The sequence below is a fragment of the Homo sapiens genome, chromosome 10, assembly GCF_000001405.40.
Source record: "Homo sapiens chromosome 10, GRCh38.p14 Primary Assembly".
NCBI lineage: Eukaryota > Metazoa > Chordata > Mammalia > Primates > Hominidae > Homo > Homo sapiens.
Window position 1 is genome coordinate 37,521,981 of NC_000010.11, and position 17,534 is coordinate 37,539,514.

Consider the following 17,534-nt stretch of genomic DNA (forward strand, 5'->3'; position numbering starts at 1 on the left):
ACAACAACAACAAACAACAAGCTATTCTAGTGATATTTCTGGTACTGGACTCTGATCCTGGATTAGGATTATGAAATAGGATTTGGAGGGTTATCTCTTATTTTCCTTTAAAATAATGAGATATTATGTACACCTATTTACTGAGTTTTCTCTACCACCCTTGTTTCAGGTATCTACGTCAGGAAATCACTTTAGTTTAACAAAATTACCTCATTTACAGCTTCCTAATATTTGCAGCTCTTATCCCAGTATGACCCCAGTCAAAAATGATTTTTATTTTTCACAAGTGATTTAGAGAATTCCTGGCCTGGCTTAGAGACAGTGGTTCTAAAGAAAAAATAACTTCATTGTTTTATAATTTGTGTCTTAGTAAAATAAGGGCTATTTGTTTTAAAACCATTTCCGTATCTGGTTTTTCAAATTAGCTTTCTTGGTTCTTTTAGTTTTCAGGTCTACAGAGAGATGATTTTGAGCTGGTCACAGTAGGTTTCTTAATTTATTTTTTAATTTATTTTTGAAACAGTCTATATAAATTCTGTTCTGTGAATACTTGTGGTTTTAACATCCAAAGATTCAAATCTGTTCACTCCATAAAGTTCTGACCCTGAAGCTGTCAGGCTGTGCCTAGGAACTGTCTCAGTGCCAATATGCCTCCCTGCACTGAAGCTGTTGGTTTCTAAAAATTCGTTCAGACCAGTTTTAACCTATAGAATGTTAACATCACATAATATGCATTGCAGCATATAGACTCTTGCTCTATCATTTTTCTAAATAGCTCTTTTGGTGTACTTGTTATTCATATCACTTGGATAATGCGCATACACAATTTGGGATCAAGAATTCATTTTAGGGTGCTGTGCCAGCTGTTCTCTTTTAGGCTGTGCTGCCGTCCTTGCTGAACTTTAGAGATGCTTAATAAAAGCAAAGAGGGAAGAACTTGCTGTTTGCTTATGTGAACTCAGGTAGGAGAGAATATTTACCAATGCCAGAAAGACAATTCTTTAATGGACGGTTTTGTGTTTCATTTTAGAATCACAGGAAGCTGATGAGGAAAGCTGGTAGCAGAAGTGGTTGAAAAATGTTCATCTGAGACTTGTTCTAAACTGTCAGAAAATGAGGCACCACAGAAGGCCATTGACTCTTTCTCAGTCAAGGATTTCAAAGAACCTGAATATGATTTTAGCAACATTTCCATCGTGAGGCCATTTTCAATAGAAGCGAAGGATTCCACGGGTATCCTGGCAGCCGTCAGAACAAAACCAGCTCATGGCTGTGTAACTGCAGTCTCAGGCAAGGCCTGCCTTCTAGCCCTCCAGACGCCCTCCAGGACAAGGCAATGACAGAAGGTGACATGGGAGTCACCCTAGAGGCTTCCACAGAAGCTGATCTAAAAGTTGGAAACTCCTGTCTAGAGCCTGTGCCCAGCAGAAGAAGCAAGCTGAGAAAGCCCAAGCCTGTCCCTCTGAGGAAGAAAGCAATTGAAGGAGAGTTCTCAGATGCCGGCACTGCTGTGGAAGGCACACCTCTCCCCAAGGCATCCTACCACTTCAGTCCTGAAGAGGTGGATGAGAACACAAGTCCTTCTTTGTTAGGAAGTGCCGGGTTCCAGAAGTCTCCTCCTGACCTTAAAGAAACTCCCAGCACTACGAAAGCCCTTCCAAGGAAACTTGGCAAGAAACCGGGTAGCAAACTGACTCACAAGATACAAAAAGATGGTATCAGTAAGTAAGCAGGTGTCGAAAAGCCTACAGACACAGTGGCATAAGATGGGCCTCTCTCCCAAGTGTCTTCCAAGCTAGATCCTAGTCAGTGGGATAAGCCCAGCTTCAACCCCTTTGGGAGCCACTCCATTCTGCAGAACTCCCCAACCCTGTCTTCTGAGGGCTTCTACCACTTTGACCCAAATAACTTTGATAAATCCATGGATCCCTTTAAACCAACTGTGACCTTAACAAGCAGTGACTTTTGTTCTCCCACTGGAAATCATGTTAAAGAAATATTAGAATCACCCAAGAAGGCAAAGTCACATTGAATAATGAGTGACAGTGGGTGCTGGGTGTCACGCTCTGTGTCTTCTCTGTGAGTTTGTCAGATGGCTACTTTTGGCTTTGGTGAACTGAATTTACCTTTGAGGTCCACCAAGGTTGATACAAAGCTTATAACATTATCCTATAGTCTTCCCTATTTGGCCTAACTTGTGTAGAATCAGAAATACCATGTGCCATGTTGGTGTGCTGCACCCTAAAACTTAGAGTATTAAAAAAAAAAAAAAGAAAAGAAATACCAGACGTTTCCTTTTCAGATTGTTGTCTTGTTTCTGAATCCTCAGCTTAATGAGGTAAGCTCCTTTCCCTGGGCCTGGAGACGTCTTTATGTTTAAAAAAAATAAAGAGTGGCATAAGATAGGTAGGTAGAGATTCGACGGTTTTCAGAAATCCTGGCGAGGCTGTCAGGAGTCACATTATAGACAGAATTCAAATGTCAGTGCTGGCCACTGTCTTCAGATTCTTTATGGAAAAAACAGAAATTCCAGTCCTATAAATTACCTATGTAGTATCAATAACGTGTAGAAAATGGCTCAAAAGGGTCTTGTAGAAAGTCTTTTTACATAAACAGAAAACTGTGATCTTTTGTTGGAAACAAATCTACCACTAAAATTTGGTGAGCATTCTTGTTTCCATATGTAGTTTCTAACTCATCAGCAAGGAGGTAAATTTCCAATTAGAATCAAGAATATTTTAAATGATCAGATAAAACTGAGTAAATTAGTTGGTTTAATCAGTCCCCCCATCTCTCATCTCTCCTGGGAAATCATCTGACTTTTGCAAGGTCCTTGGAGTTTTCAGCGTAATCACTTAAGGTCACATTCTATATCAAGTTTCAGTTTAACTTTGCTACAGGATTAGTTTATCACAAAACTTTAGTTGAGTACATTATAATACAGTCATACATCGCTTAGCCACAGGGTAGTTCTGAGAAATGCATCCTTAGGTGATTTTTTTGTGTGAACATCATAAAGTCAACTTACACAAACTTAGGTGATGTAGACTATTACACACCTAGGCTAAATGGTACAACCTATTGCTCCTGGGCTACAAACCTGTACATCACATTATTGTACTGAATACTATAGGTGTTAGGTGTGATGCCTCACACTTATAATACCAACATTTTGGGAGGCTAAGGTGGGAGGATCCCTTGAGGCCAGGAGTTTGAGACCAGCCTGGTCAACATAGTGAGATGCCCCCCGCTGCCAAAACACACCTCCTGTCTCTTAAGTTTTTTAAAAAAAATAGCTGGGAGTGGTGGTGCATGCCTGTAGTCCCAGCTACTCAGGAGGCTGAGGCAGGAGGATTGCTTGAGCCTAAGAGGTTGAGTCTGCAGTGACCCATGATTTTGCCATTGTACTGCAGCCTGGCTGGCAGAACAAAACCCTGTCTAAAAACAAACAAAACAAAACAAACAAACAAACAAAAAAACAAGAAAACAAACTACTGTGGGCAATTGTAACACAGTCGTAAGCATTTGTGTATCTAAACATATCTAAGCATAGAAAAGGTACAGTAAAAATATGGTATAAAAGATAAAAAATAATACACCTGTAGAGGGCGCTTACCATGAATGGAACTTGCAGGACTGGAAGTTGCTCTGAGTGAGTCAATGAGTGAGTGGTGAGTGAATGTGAAGGCCTAGGACATTCCTGTACACTACTGTAGCTTGTATAAACACTGTATCCTTCAGGTACACTAAATTTATTTTTAAAAACTCTTCCTTCTATAGTAAATTAAATTTACTCTTTTACTTTATCAACTTTTGAACTTTTAAAGAAGCTTTGACTCTTTTGTAATAGTAATTAGCTTAAAAAACAAACACATGGAACAGCTATACACAATATTTTATTTCTTTATATCCCTAGTTCATAAGTTTTCTTTGTTTAAAATTACTTATTTGTTTACTTTTTAAACTTTTTTGTTAAAAACTAAGGCACAGACACACAAATTGCCTAGGCTTACACAGGGTCAGGATTGTCAGGACATCACTAGGCAATAGTTTTTCTGCTCCATTATAACCCTACGGGACCACCACATGACCGAAAGTTTATTACGTGGCACATGACTGTACTTCCTTTTGCGGCCCTGTGACATTTTGCTAAAACGTTTCAGTAAAATGTAGATATAAAGAAGGACCAAGGAGTTGCAGCATGAAGTATGGAAAAGGAGTGCAAGAAGCACTGTGTTTGTAGTTGTCACTATAGATCAGTTGGGGAAATGCTTCTCAGTGTTGCTATGACTTAAAGAAAAACTCCAGATGCCATGGTGAGTTACAGCAGAAAGGAAGACACCCAGAAGTTTAAAGAGCAGAAGGATGGACTAAAGTACCAAGAAAATAGAGCGATGTAGGAGTCAGTTCTTCAGCAGCCCCAGAACGTCTAAGGGGAGTGAAATGTCATTAGTAACTCTGGATCTGTTCTTTGATTATATATCAGCAGTTAAATGGTTGTTGAAAAATATTATTGACTTGGTGCCCTCTTTTGTGGCTTTTAAGGTTATTTAGTTCTCTCTAGACAGTAGTTGGGGTATGTACTGGGCACATCACTGCCTAGTTACTTCCTCCTCTAAATGTGAGATGTTTCAGCCTACTGAAGTCGATAAGGAGTCGTTTGTGAGCCTTTCAGTTGCATGCAAGCAGTGCATTCATGTCAAATAAGATGAAATCTGGGCCAAAGAGAGGGTAATTCATTCTACACTTTATAATCAGTAGCAAGAAATACCATCTTTCGAGTCCTACCACCCTCACCTGGTAGGTAGCCTTTTTCCCCTATTCTGTTTTTGTCAAATGAACTTCTTGATCTAATACACTTAATAGGTTTTTTTAAAGGTCCTTATGCAACCAAAAATCTTGTTTTCTTGTTCTTTATACAAGAAAGCAGTGCTAGACCTCTTGGAAGTTTACTTTTCATCTACAAATTTGAATTTGCGGCATTTCTGAGTGTTTCTACCAGTCTCTCTTATGGTTGAGGTCTGTTAATCATTCACTCACTAGTGATAACATTCATGAATATGACATTTTAAATTAGTATCTCACCTCATAGAAAGAATTGTGCAGCTTTTACATCTGCAAGACTGGAGTTGAATATTCCAGTCTTTACATGATTTTTTTCTCCCTCTGTGTCTTTCCTGTCTCTTAATTTTGTTGGTGCATCGGGATTATTAAACAAGTGAAATTTCTCTGTTTTCTGTTGTAAGTACTCCTGCTGTTTCTGTTTGTCCCTGGGACCATTGGCAGTTTTCTCTCCCATCCTCCCTGAGCCATCTCTCCATAGCATGGTTTGCTTCTGAGTTTGATCTTTTGATGATTTTTTGTATTTCACTGGCCACTTCATGAGTTAGCTAAGCTTTGTAGGTGTCCGCACCTCAGGGAGTGGGGCTTGGCCTTTACACCTTAGGTGTGAGAACTTGCACTCCCTAGCCTGGCAAGTGTCACGTGGTGCTTTGACAATACCAAGAGCTGGCTTGGCCTCAAGCAGTGGTTTGAGGGACTGTTCTGCTATTTAATATTGGAAATCATTGACTTTTGGTAAGATAAAGCTACTGGCTTGGAACAGTTAATTTTACTGAGTCAGCTCAACTTGAGTTTGGTGGCAGAGGGTGGCACTCAGTAGGAAAACTAGGGAAAGAAGATCATGAAGTAATGATTATGCACATTCTGGTAACTTATGTGGTTGTCTTTTTATTTTTTCTTGCAAAAGAAAGAAGTTGCAAATTTTTTTTCTTTTTTTGGTCACGGTGTTTTTACTGAAAATTCTAAGTTTATTAAAACAGAACAGAATCTCAATTAGTCCTGTAATCACAAATTTTGTGCTAGTCTACAAATAACAGGTGGTTCAAGCTTTCCCCAGCTTCAGGCTTGGTGTAATATGTGGCATTCATCTTCCATCTTACTACTTAATAGGAATGGTAACCGTTTACTCACATATTTTTATTTTTACACTTTTTATTGACCACAGTTCTTGTCTGTGAACACACAAGTCTAACTGGAACTGTTTTATGAGACTTCTGTGGCTTTTGGTGAAATAAAGAATTTTTAAAGAAACCAGTCCAGCGTGATGATTTTTCTAATGAATGTCAAAGCCAAGCAAGGGAGGCTCAGAGGAACTGAATGTCTCCAGCTGCTAAGGCTCTACTGTCTGAAAAGCTTTTGGTGGTGTGTAATTAAAAACCATAGACATCAGAGTGCTAGTGTTTGAAAACTCACAGAAGCAAGCAAGGGGGTCTTTTCAGAGAATGAGCCCCGCTCTAGGTCTTTGCTTACCTCTTCTCTCCAGAGAAAACTCAGAGGCATAAAAGGTGTCCCTGCCTCTCTCACAGGTAGATGTATGGTGTGTGTGGTGCTGTACGCTTTGGCTTCTATCTGCACACACTGCTCTCTGTCCCATTTCATACCTTGACAGTTGTCAGTGTGGTTCCAAATTAGCTTTTTTATGTTTCTTCTCTTGCCAGGAGTGGCTTTAAGGTGAAGAAGCATGAAACTCAGTCTCTTGCCTGGGTGCATGTTCTCAGGTGAGTCTGTGCTCATCCCCAGAATGTCTCTTAGACCAGGGGTCCCCCAGCGGGAGTGGATCATAAGGACTTTCCAATGAGTGCCTGAGAAACCAATTTCCAGATCCTCACTGTCCCTGAAGAAAAGGCGCCTGAAGAAAAGGGAACCCTTTCACAATGACTCTCTCTCTCTCTTTGTCTCCATTTTTTTTTTTTTGTAAAACTCTCACTAAAAGCTACAAAGATGCATCACCACAGGGTGTGAAAGTCTCCAGGGCACCAAAGGGAAGATCTGAAATATTGGTATAGGTTCTAAGAAGATAATTGACTCTAATAACTGAAAGATATTTTTCTTAAGTCAGATGGTTTCCCAATTCATTGGTTTCGACAAAATAAGAAGACCTGAGTTGTTAGCTGATAGATCTAAAAATAATCTTTGATGATAGAATTTTTGGGCACATGACTTGGAAAGGGGTTCAAAGAATTGAAAGTCCTTCTGTTACAGAACTACCTTCTGTTTCATCTATCGTTTATATAAATAAGGTTTCTTAATAATTATAATTATAAAAATAGAAATCATGAATAAAATTGACATTGACCTCTGTTACATTCTAGCAATAAACAGTATGCATCCATGACCATATGAACTAATTGCAAAACACACATAAACCAAAACCCAAGCCCATCTGATTGCAACGAGATCCTTTTGTTCTTTTTAAAACTTTATGTCAGTATGCTTATGATTTTAGAAATACATTCATATTGGCTAATAGAATTCAATTTTAACATAACTTATTCTGTACAATTTGGACCAGAAATTTGGTATATGGTGTAAGATGTAAAAAAAGGGGTGCAGTGGGGGGAAATTTGCAATCTGAGTTATTTTTCATCTGTTACAAATGTGTAAAAGATTCTCCCTCAAATTTTGCTAATGTAGGCAACAAGAACTATGAGAAATTTATCTTTTGTTTTCTTTAAAGAAAAACCCAAACCCACATATTTTTGTACTGTAAAAGTTTTTAAGAATTAGTGCAATAAAACATTTTGTAGATGATATAAAAATTTACTTTTGTGTCTAATACTTATCAAAACTTGCAATATTTTGAAAATAAGTTGTGCATTAGTAAATGTAACAATAACTCATCAGCAGAAAAAAAAATTTAACACCTCAAGACTTATAGTCAAAGAAAAAAATGTAACAGAGGCATTGGATAGAGACCTTTAAAAGACTTTCAGTCATGCAGATGTTTTTCATTGGGATAATTTCTTGATGGAAGTGGAATGAATAACGTAATGGAAAATGAATAACGTAAATTTCTGACTTATTCAGGAACTTGTTTGTGTAAATTTAAAATGGATCATATGGTATCATATCACAAAGGTAACTAGATAGCATTAAGCAAATTCAATATTTAGAATAAGGCAGATATTACATTCTTTGCAATTATTTAAACTTATGCTGAAAAGTGTTTAGATGTCATTTGAAAATGAAATGGGGTACATAGATTTAAAAAAATTAGGAGGTATCTGATCAAAAAAAATTGAAAACCACTGTCTTAGACCACTTAAACTGCTTGCTGATAAACTTAGCCTAGAGAAGCTCATTTTTTAAAACCTCAGACTCAAATTACAGAACCTAGGTTCTATAAAACAGCATGTCACAATTGAAAGTTCCAGCTTCCTCCTTGCTTTGTACCCAGATCTGTGGCTAACTCCCTCAGATATCTTTATGGAGTTGTATCCACTTGGTTCCATTCATGAGATGTCACTTTTCCCCATTGCTTGCCCTCCTAAAGGGTAACATCTTCTTTGTTGTGTTTCTCAGGATGAAGGGGCAGTGATCTACCAGATTTCAGACATTTCTAATAGGGATGTCCACGCTACCAATGAGGAGAAACTGACATCCACGTCATGTGGTCAGAAATCAGGTGCGGGCAAGGTGAAAGGTGACCAGAGGGAGACCTGGAGTACTTTGAATGTTCCAGTGCTCCCATGTCTACCATAAATCATGCGTTTTCATCCTCAGAAGCAGGTATGGAAGCATATCTTCATCTTTCTAATGTATATATGCATAGAAATGCCTGAAAGCCTAATGAAGCAGGAGGCACCTTACAGAGCTTAAAGAATTGGGTCACTGGAAGGATAGATTTAGGATTATTGACCTATGCTTTTGCTTCTTTATCGAGAAAGTGGACACTAACAAAAGTGCTTATTGAAGTACTAGGAACATAGGGATACTTGTGGCAAGTTGTATAGGAGACGCTGATGTGTGTGAGACTGCTTGAATTTCTTTATAATTTTCTGTCAATATGGCCATATCTTGTAGTGGTGTGTTAGTTCATTTGCGTTGCTGTAAAGGAATACCTGAGACTGGATGATTTATAAGAAAAAGAGGTTTATTTGGTTCATTTTTCTTCAGGCTGTAGAAGAAGCATGGCACCAGTGTCTGCTTCTGGTGAGGGACTCAGGAAGCTTCCAATAATGGCAGAAGGCAAAGGGGAGCAAGTGGTCACATGGCGAGAGGGAAGGAGGAAGAGAGAGGGGTAGGAAGATGCCAAGCTGTTTTTAAGAGACATATCTTGCAGAAACTAAGAGACCAAGAAGTCACTCATTACCACAAGGAAGGCACCAAGCTATTCATGCGGGATACGCCCCTATGACCCAAACACCTCCCATTAGGCCTCACTCACCTCCACCATTGGGATTAAGTGTCAACATGAGATTCAGAGGGGATAAATATTCAAACTATATCAGATGGCCTATAAATATGTCATACATTATGCAGCCATAAAAAAAATGGGTTCATGTCCTTTGCAGGGACATGGATGAAGCTGGAAGCCATCATTCTCAGCAAAGTAACAGAGGAACAGAGGACCAAACACCACATGTTCTTACTCTTAAGTTAGAGTTGAACAATGAGAACACATAGACACAGGAAGGGGAGAATCACACACCAGGGTCTGTCAGGGGGGTGGGGGAAAATGGGAGGGGGAGCATAAACACAAATACCTAATGCGTGCTGGGCTTAAAAACTAGATGACAAGCTGATAGGTGCAGTAAACCACCATGGCAGATATATACCTATGTAACAAACCTGCACATTCTGCACAAGTATCCCAGAACTTAAAGTAAAACAAAAAATAAATAAAATAAATATGTCATATGTCTGACTTTTTATGATTTTTATGTTCATTGTTTAACTTACAGAAATAATAACTAATACATATGGTGCCTTATCATGTGCAGGCATTGTTCTAAGTGCCTTGCATATACTTATTCATAGCAAGGTGTTACTCTTTTCTCCTTTTTTCAGAGAAACAAAGAAGGCAAAAAGTTAAGTAACTTGACTAAAGTCTCTTGGCAAGTGTAGGAAAGAAAAGTGGTATCTTTCCTCACTCATCACAAGGTTCATGGCTGAGACATCTCTAACAGAAGACAGATCAACAAGACAAAAGCATACAAATATATTTAATATAAGTTTTACATGACATTAGAGCCTCCAGAAATGAAGACCCAAACAGGGAAAACTGTACTTTTATGGAGAGTTGTGCAGAAGTACAATTGGAGGACAGAAGGGTGTGATCTAATGGTAATAAACTAGGGGAACTTAGTCAATCCTGTTTATTTCAATTCCTCTTAGTGTCTGTGTCTTTCAGGATAAGGACTTTGTTTTTCTCTGGGTGTAGGGAGGACCCCTCTGTTATTAGGTCTTATGACCTATTTTCATGGGAAGGTCTGAGGGATTCCTTTATGGCCTGCTTCAGGGGAGAGGGCAGGAGAGGTGCCAAGAGACCTTCCTGCTTCTGCTGTGTCCTCAGGTGCGAAGGCACCAGATTTTGGTGAAGTGTGTTCTGAACCTTGTCAGTAGTAAATGGTAGAACTACATTTGACTCTAAGCAGTCTGGTTCCATGATCGTTTAGCCACAATGTCAAAGTGTGAAGAGATTATCTTAATGACCCTAGGCTACTGTAAATTTTCCTGGTACAGTGTGTTAGGTTGAAACTGACCAGTGCACTGTAAAATCTTTCTTAAAGTGCTAATGAGGAAGTTGGACTAAGCAGGGCTGAAGCCTCTTACTGATGGACTTTTCAGATCATTCTAGAGCTAAGCCCCTCTCCTGGGTACCAAGTTAGATGGATGGCTTTAAACTTTACTTATGAAAAGTTTAGAAACATGTTCCTGACTACATTAAACATTATTAAAAACTTAGATCTTCTTAAACAACATAATTTTATTTGTGGCATTTTATGCACAGAATTTTAAAAGTCATGATCTGCCATTAAGCCAGGGAAGCAGATGGAAAGTCAGGACTTGGAGCAATTTATTCCCCCTGGTCTCCTTCCCATCTCAGATCCCAGTCTCTCTTCTATAAAATATTGGGCCAAGCATTGTTCCTGATTTTGTCCAACACTGCCTTCTGCCCTGACATCTTTCCCAAAGACCGTGTTCACCATTCTGCCGGTTTCTCTGGGTTAATCCTGAGTATTCTTGCACCTGCCTTCATTTCGTCCATCTGAAGTGTTTTCCTTTGCTGCCTCCTACACAGATCTGCACATCCCTTCAGGTCTCTCCTGCATGCTTTATGCTCCCATGACATTTCCTATTCCCCTTCCTGTTCCACAGCACCTAGTGCAGTGTGTCAATTACAGGAAAGTAATATTATAAACTTACTGAGGTTAGAGACTAGGAGACGGTCATTTTCGAGTCACCTTTGACACAGTACATGGTAAACATTTATTGAATTATATTCTTCCTCACCCGAGGAAATTCCTTCAACGAAAATTTATACAGACAGCTGGGACACTTGTTTACATCTCTTCCCCCTACTGTTTGCTAACTTTGAAGATAGTACTGTATGCTATCTTCATACTGAAAGAAACCTGAGCCCAACCTGTCCCTCCACGTTCAGGAACTTATAAAGCATGGCGGACACGTCTTCTTCCATCCTTTGGCACGTCTCCTTCTCTATGCCTAAGACAGAAAGTCATTTTTATAGTTATCCCAATAAGTTGGTTCCTTATTGGGAACCAGATTTAAAAAGGGGGAAGAGATTTAAAGAACCGGCTACACTGTAACTGATCAGCCACATCACAGGCAAGTGGAGGCTGCTGTACTGGTGTGGGGGTGGCTACAGGCCCTGTTAGGTGAATCCAGACCATGTCCTGGGGAGTGTCCACTTGGAGTTGGGTCCTGATGGCTACTTACCTAGATGTTTTCTGGGAAATGAGACCCTCACACAGCCATGGGGAGGAAGCCGCCATGTTGGTAAAATGCCCAGTTTCTTTCTCTGAGTACATGGCAAGTGGGAAACAAGGTCATACCATGGAATCTGGGCTTGAGCCTTTGGTAGGGAGTGGGGAGGTTGAAGGTTTTTGAACAAGGGAGTGAGGGTCACATTTGTGTTTTAAATAATTAACTGACAACAATAGTAGTTAGTGATTGCCATGTGGAGGATTGTAGCTTTAAAGTTTTGTATGCTTTTCTGTATTTTTATGTTTACTTCAATGAGTGCATCTTCTGGTTATTTTAAATGTCACCCTCCACCCTAGTAGAGTAGAGGATAGACCTGAGATGAGGAAGCCCATTTGAAGGGTATGGAGGAAGAATGAGTTTAGATTTGCTGGCTTAAATTTTAAAGCTTATTATCTTATCTGCTGCATTAATTAGATCAAGGCCACTCTTCTGGGCTGGAATTTAAGTTCATTCAGACTTGATGATAAAAAAAAAAATCAGTGTTACAGTGTGTTCACTTTCTGCCGTAATGCCATGGTTAGTCCAGTGCATTAGCCAAAATTGTAATGGACACAAGGGTGCAGGCTTGCTGTTCTTTCTGCCTGAAGGTTGATGACCTGTTTGTGGCTGACTAACCTGTGCTCTTCTTCTGAATGTCATGGACTTGTAATGCTGAACTGCACAGCGCTCAGCAGAATGCCAGCGCTCCTTTTAAATAAAATTTTGGAATGCTGTTTATGTGTTCACTGTCATTCTTGGCCTGCACTGGGGTTTCCAAGAGCCTTTCACTAGGGGGAAAAGCAACCAACTTATTGGGATAACTATAAAAATGACTTTCTGTCTTAGGCATAGAGAAGGAGACGTGCCAAAAGGTGGAAGAAGACGTGTCCACCATGCTTGTAAGTTCCTGAATGTGGAGGGCCAGGTGGGGCTCGGGTTTCTTTCAGTATTTGTTTTGAAGCCCATGTGAATTTGTTAAACTCTGGTCAGTGTTAGGTGATGAGGATAAAATACAAATAAGACACAGTTTCTTCACTTGAGGAACATGTAGTCTCTGCAGTGTTCTGTACAGTAGCCCTAGCTGCAGGTAGCTGTTGAGCACTTGAACCATAGCTAGTCAGAATTGAGATATCCGGTATGTGTAATGTGCAACCATTTTTTGAAGACTCAGTACAAAAAGAAGCATAAAATGTCTCAATATTTTATATTAACTACATGTTGACATAATATTTTGGATATATTGGGTTAACTAAGGTATATTATTATTATTATTATTATTAGAGACAGTCTCACTCTGTCACCCAGGCTAGAGTGCCGTGGTGCAATCTCAGCTAACTGCAACCTCCACCTCCTGGGCTCAAGTGATCCTCCCACTGCAGCATCCCAACTAGCTGGGACAACATGAGCATGGCACTATACCTGCTAATTTTTGTATTTTTTGTAGAGATGGGGTCTTGCCATGTTGCCTAGGCTGGTCCCAAACTCCTGAGCTCAAGTGATCTGCCCACCTTGGCCTCCCAAAGTGCTGGGATCACAGGCATGAGCCACCACACCTGGCTGGTTTACTCAGTTCTTGAAACAAACTTTAAACTTCCTGATTCCCAACTTATTCACCCATAAAATGAGCAGCACCCATCTGCCTCTTCAGAGTAGTTGTGAGGATAAGATGAAATGACAGTGTGAAAGATTTAAGCTGTAAAGTGCTAGAATACACTAGTGGTGTGCTAGAATACACTGGTGTAATGTTGATAGGAAATACGTGGGAAAGAGTGTGAAAAAAGACAGTGAAAAAGAAAAGAGTGAAAAGGAAGAATGACAAACACTGTCTCTGGAGCCAGCTGGTGAGTAACTTATATGCTGTGACCTTTTAAGAGCAACTCCCTTTGAACTTCCCAACATAAATTAATTTCTACATCCTTAAAGCACTGAATAAACATTGTATAAAGAAATTTCAGCAAGCAAAACATGGAATGAAGAAATCTGTTTAATCCAGCATTTACTTTTTAAGTTTCTCTGTGTCACTCTGAAGTCCATTCCTATGCAGTTTGTGCCCAGCAGTAGGTGGTGGCTGGGACTAAGGCCAGAGTACAGTCAGTGGTGGGGAGTCAGTCTCACCTTGCTTTTCAGCTGTTGTTCTGCAGCATTTTTGATGTAGGAAGTTAACTTTTCTTTTTAAGTTTTAAATTTCTTAAGAGCTGAGTTCATTTGGCTTTTCTGGGAGTGTCACTGTTAGAGTACAGCAGGGGCTGGTACTGCTCCATTGTGATTGAGGACAAATGACAGGATGAGCACAGTCAGCATATGGCCACAGATCAGTGATGCAAATTCTCCTGCCATGAGGACATAGCCACAGGAATCTGTGGCATCTGTGCTCACTATAGATTTGCAACCGGGAGTCCATTGAGTTCTATTGTCTATACACTGGTCTTTGTTGGTCTTCAATTGTGAACGTTTTGAGGGACTGGGAGAAGCATTTGGCAAACATGAAATGAGGCCCTTTTGGAAGGATATGATTGATTGATTTAGCATGTTAATTAAAGACACACTGGATGGCCCAGGCCTGAAAGAGATCTTCTGGTCAATTCTGTGTGATGGTAGCTTCTATAATAAGGTTGTCCAGCTTGCTTAATTTTGTTGTTGTTGTTCTGTTTTGTTTTGTTTTAGGCTTTTATCAGCCTGAAGCCATGGTTTTTAGTTTCTGTCTCTAGTGATAAGCAGAAAAGACGGATGAGGAAGGAGCTTTACTGTCCCAACCAGAAACAACAACTAAGAATCCATGACTGTATTCTCTCCCTCGGATACTCCTGTTAGCTATTCTGCACTTTTTGGTAAGCAACTTCAAGGACTAAGGAATATAAAAAGTTAAATCCTAGGAGACTGGAAAAGATGGCTAAAGTAGGCCGTGTCATACATTCCTGCCCTTACACCTGTGAGAGCTGTTGCATTTTGAGTAGTGAGGCTTGTAGATGTGGCCAGGCCAAGAGAAGAGTGGCCGGGGAGAGCTGCCAAGCTGAAGAGTCCACTTGCCTGGAGACATCAAAAACCATCCAAAGTCTGATCTCCCACCTCCAGCTCAGTATGCTGCCTGTTCTGACCCCACATGTGTTAGCATTAAGTTGTTAAGCAGATAGACTGAATGCATTTGCCCCCTCAAGAAATGACTGAGATGCCAAACTCTGTAATGGACATTGATGTTTTCCTGGCTAAGAAGATTTTTAGGAGGCTTATTTCCCAAATTCTCATGAACCTTGTAGCCATGGGAAGCCCTGAGAGTCTGTTTCCTAAAGTTGACTTAACCTGGGGAGTCTGGCTTAAACTAAGAACTCACAAGAGACTGACCAACGAAATGCTATTAATTTAGACTTGGAAGTGTAACAGCAAGGTGAATCAAGTGTCAACTTGACTTCCTGTAATACCTCCCTTTAGGCAAGTTACAGTTTCTTGATAAGAAATAAGGCACAGGAGGTTAATGAGATGGTGCATATGTCTAGGAGTGTATCAGCTATCTACTGCTCTGTAACACATGCTAAAATTCTGTTTCTGAGTGTTTCCTAGAGAAAGGGTAAAACTATAATGACTGAAAAATTTAAAAGCCACTGGTCTAAGTTCACCTTAGACTTTCTGTTTAGTATTTGTTCACACAAGATATAACTGATTGATTATAATCAATAATTGATCAGTTATGCCCACATTTAAGATTAAGATTATTCCAGGTCACTTTGGCATTTTGGATTTCCCAAAGTATTAAATGACTCATTTATATAAAAAGTTTACTTCTGTAGGTGGGAGGAATAGCCAGCAAAAAATCCTTTTGGGAAGGAAAAATACTACAAAGTCCAAGTTCTTGTGAAAAAACAAACAAACAAACAAACAAAAAACAACACTTGCCAGTGTTTGGCTCTGGAACCTTCTGGAACCTGGGTTTATAATAGAAGGGAGCCACCACCTCAGAAGGCAAAGTGCTGCCCGGAAGGGAGTGAAAAACTTAGTAGCAAGGAATAACCAACACACAGGCATGGACCTTGACTTATATATGGCCGTTTTGCATACAACCAACAATGGCGGACACCCAGCAAGCTGGGTTATGGCCGGAGGTCGCTATGGAGCAGTGGAAGTTCATTATGATCCTGAATCATCTGGGTGGAAGAGTGGTTCGGAGTTCAAATATATCTGCTATTTCTGCCTCCTTAGTCCTGAAAGTTAGTATTTTAGAAACATTTCCACCTGCAGGGGGTGGAGCCAAGATGGCCAAATAGGAACAGCTCCAGTCTACAGCTCCCAGCATGAGCGATGCAGAAGATGGGTGATTTCTGCATTTCCAACTGAGGTACTGGGTTCATCTCAATGGGGAGTGCCGGACAGTGGGGGCAGGACAGTGGGTGCAGTGCACCGTGTGTGAGCCAAAACAGGGAGAGGCATCCCCTCACCTGGGAAGTGCAAGGGGTCAGGGAATTCCCTTTCCTAGTCGAAGAAAGGGGTGACAGACGGCACCTGGAAAATCAGGTCACTCCCACCCTAATACTGCACTTTTCCAATGGGCTCAAAAAACGGCACACCAGGAGATTATATCCCGCACATGGCTTGGAGGGTCCTACGCCCACGGAGCCTCACTCATTGGTAGCACAGCAGTCTGAGATCAAACTGCAAGGTGGCAGCGAGGCTGGGAAAGGGGCGCCCGCCATTGCCCAAGCTTGAGTAGGTAAACAAAGCAGCTGGGAAGCTCAAACTGGGTGGAGCCCACACAGCTCAAGGAGGCCTGCCTGCCTCTACAGGCTCCACCTCTGGGGGCAGGGCACAAACAAAAGACAGCAATAACCTCTGCAGACTTAAATGTCCCTATCTGACAGCTTTGAAGAGAGTAGTGGTTCTCCCAGCATGCAGCTGCAGATCTGAGAACGGGCAGACTGCCTCCTCAAGTGGGTCCCTGAGTCCCGAGTAGCCTAACCAGGAGGCACCCCCCAGTAGGGGTGGACTGACACCTCACATGGCCGTGTACTCCTCTGGGACAAAACTTCCAGGGGAACGATCAGGCAGCAGCATTTGCAGTTCACCAATATCCGCTATTCCACAGCCACCACTGCTGATACCCAGGCAAACAGGGTCTGGAGTGGACCTCCAGCAAACTCCAACAGACCTGCAGCTGAGGGTCCTGACTGTTAGAAGGAAAACTAACACACAGAAAGGATATCCACACCAAAAACCCATCTGTAAATCAACATCATCAAAGACCAAAGGTAGATAAAACCACAAAAATGGGGAAAAAACAGAGCAGAAAAACCGGAAACTCTAAAAATCAGAGCACCTCTCCTCCTCCAAAGGAACGCAGCTCCTCACCAGCAATGGAACAAAGCTGGATGGAGAATGACTTCAGAATATCAAACTACTCCAAGCTAAAGGAGAAAGTTCGAACCAATGGCAAAGAAGTTAAAAACTTTGAAAAAATATTACATGAATGGATAACTAGAATAACCAATGCAGAGAAGTCCTTAAAGGACCTGATGGAGCTGAAAACCATGGCACAAGAACTACGTGACGAATGCACAAGCCTCAGTAACTGATGCCATCAACGGGAATAAAGGGTAACAGCAATGGAAGATGAAATGAATGAAATGAAGCATGAAGAGAAGTTTAGAGAAAAAAGAATAAAAAGAAACAATCAAAGCCTCAAGAAACATGGGACTATGTGAAAAGACCAAATCTACGTCTGACTGGTGTACCTGAAAGTGATGGGGAGAATGGGACCAAGTTGGAAAACACTCTGC

At 40.7% G+C, this 17,534-nt stretch overlaps 1 pseudogene, besides 1 other annotated feature; it reads left to right on the forward strand.

Moving 5' to 3' along the window:
• Window positions 1,030-8,778, forward strand: TACC1P1 (transforming acidic coiled-coil containing protein 1 pseudogene 1; annotated as a pseudogene).
• Window positions 13,865-14,415: an enhancer, noted in NCBI's record as "NANOG hESC enhancer chr10:37824773-37825323 (GRCh37/hg19 assembly coordinates)". NCBI's record gives its function as "activates a minimal SCP1, AML or CMV promoter by ChIP-STARR-seq in naive H9 embryonic stem cells {active_cell/tissue: H9 hESC(naive)}" and the evidence as "EXISTENCE:reporter gene assay evidence [ECO:0000049][PMID:30033119]".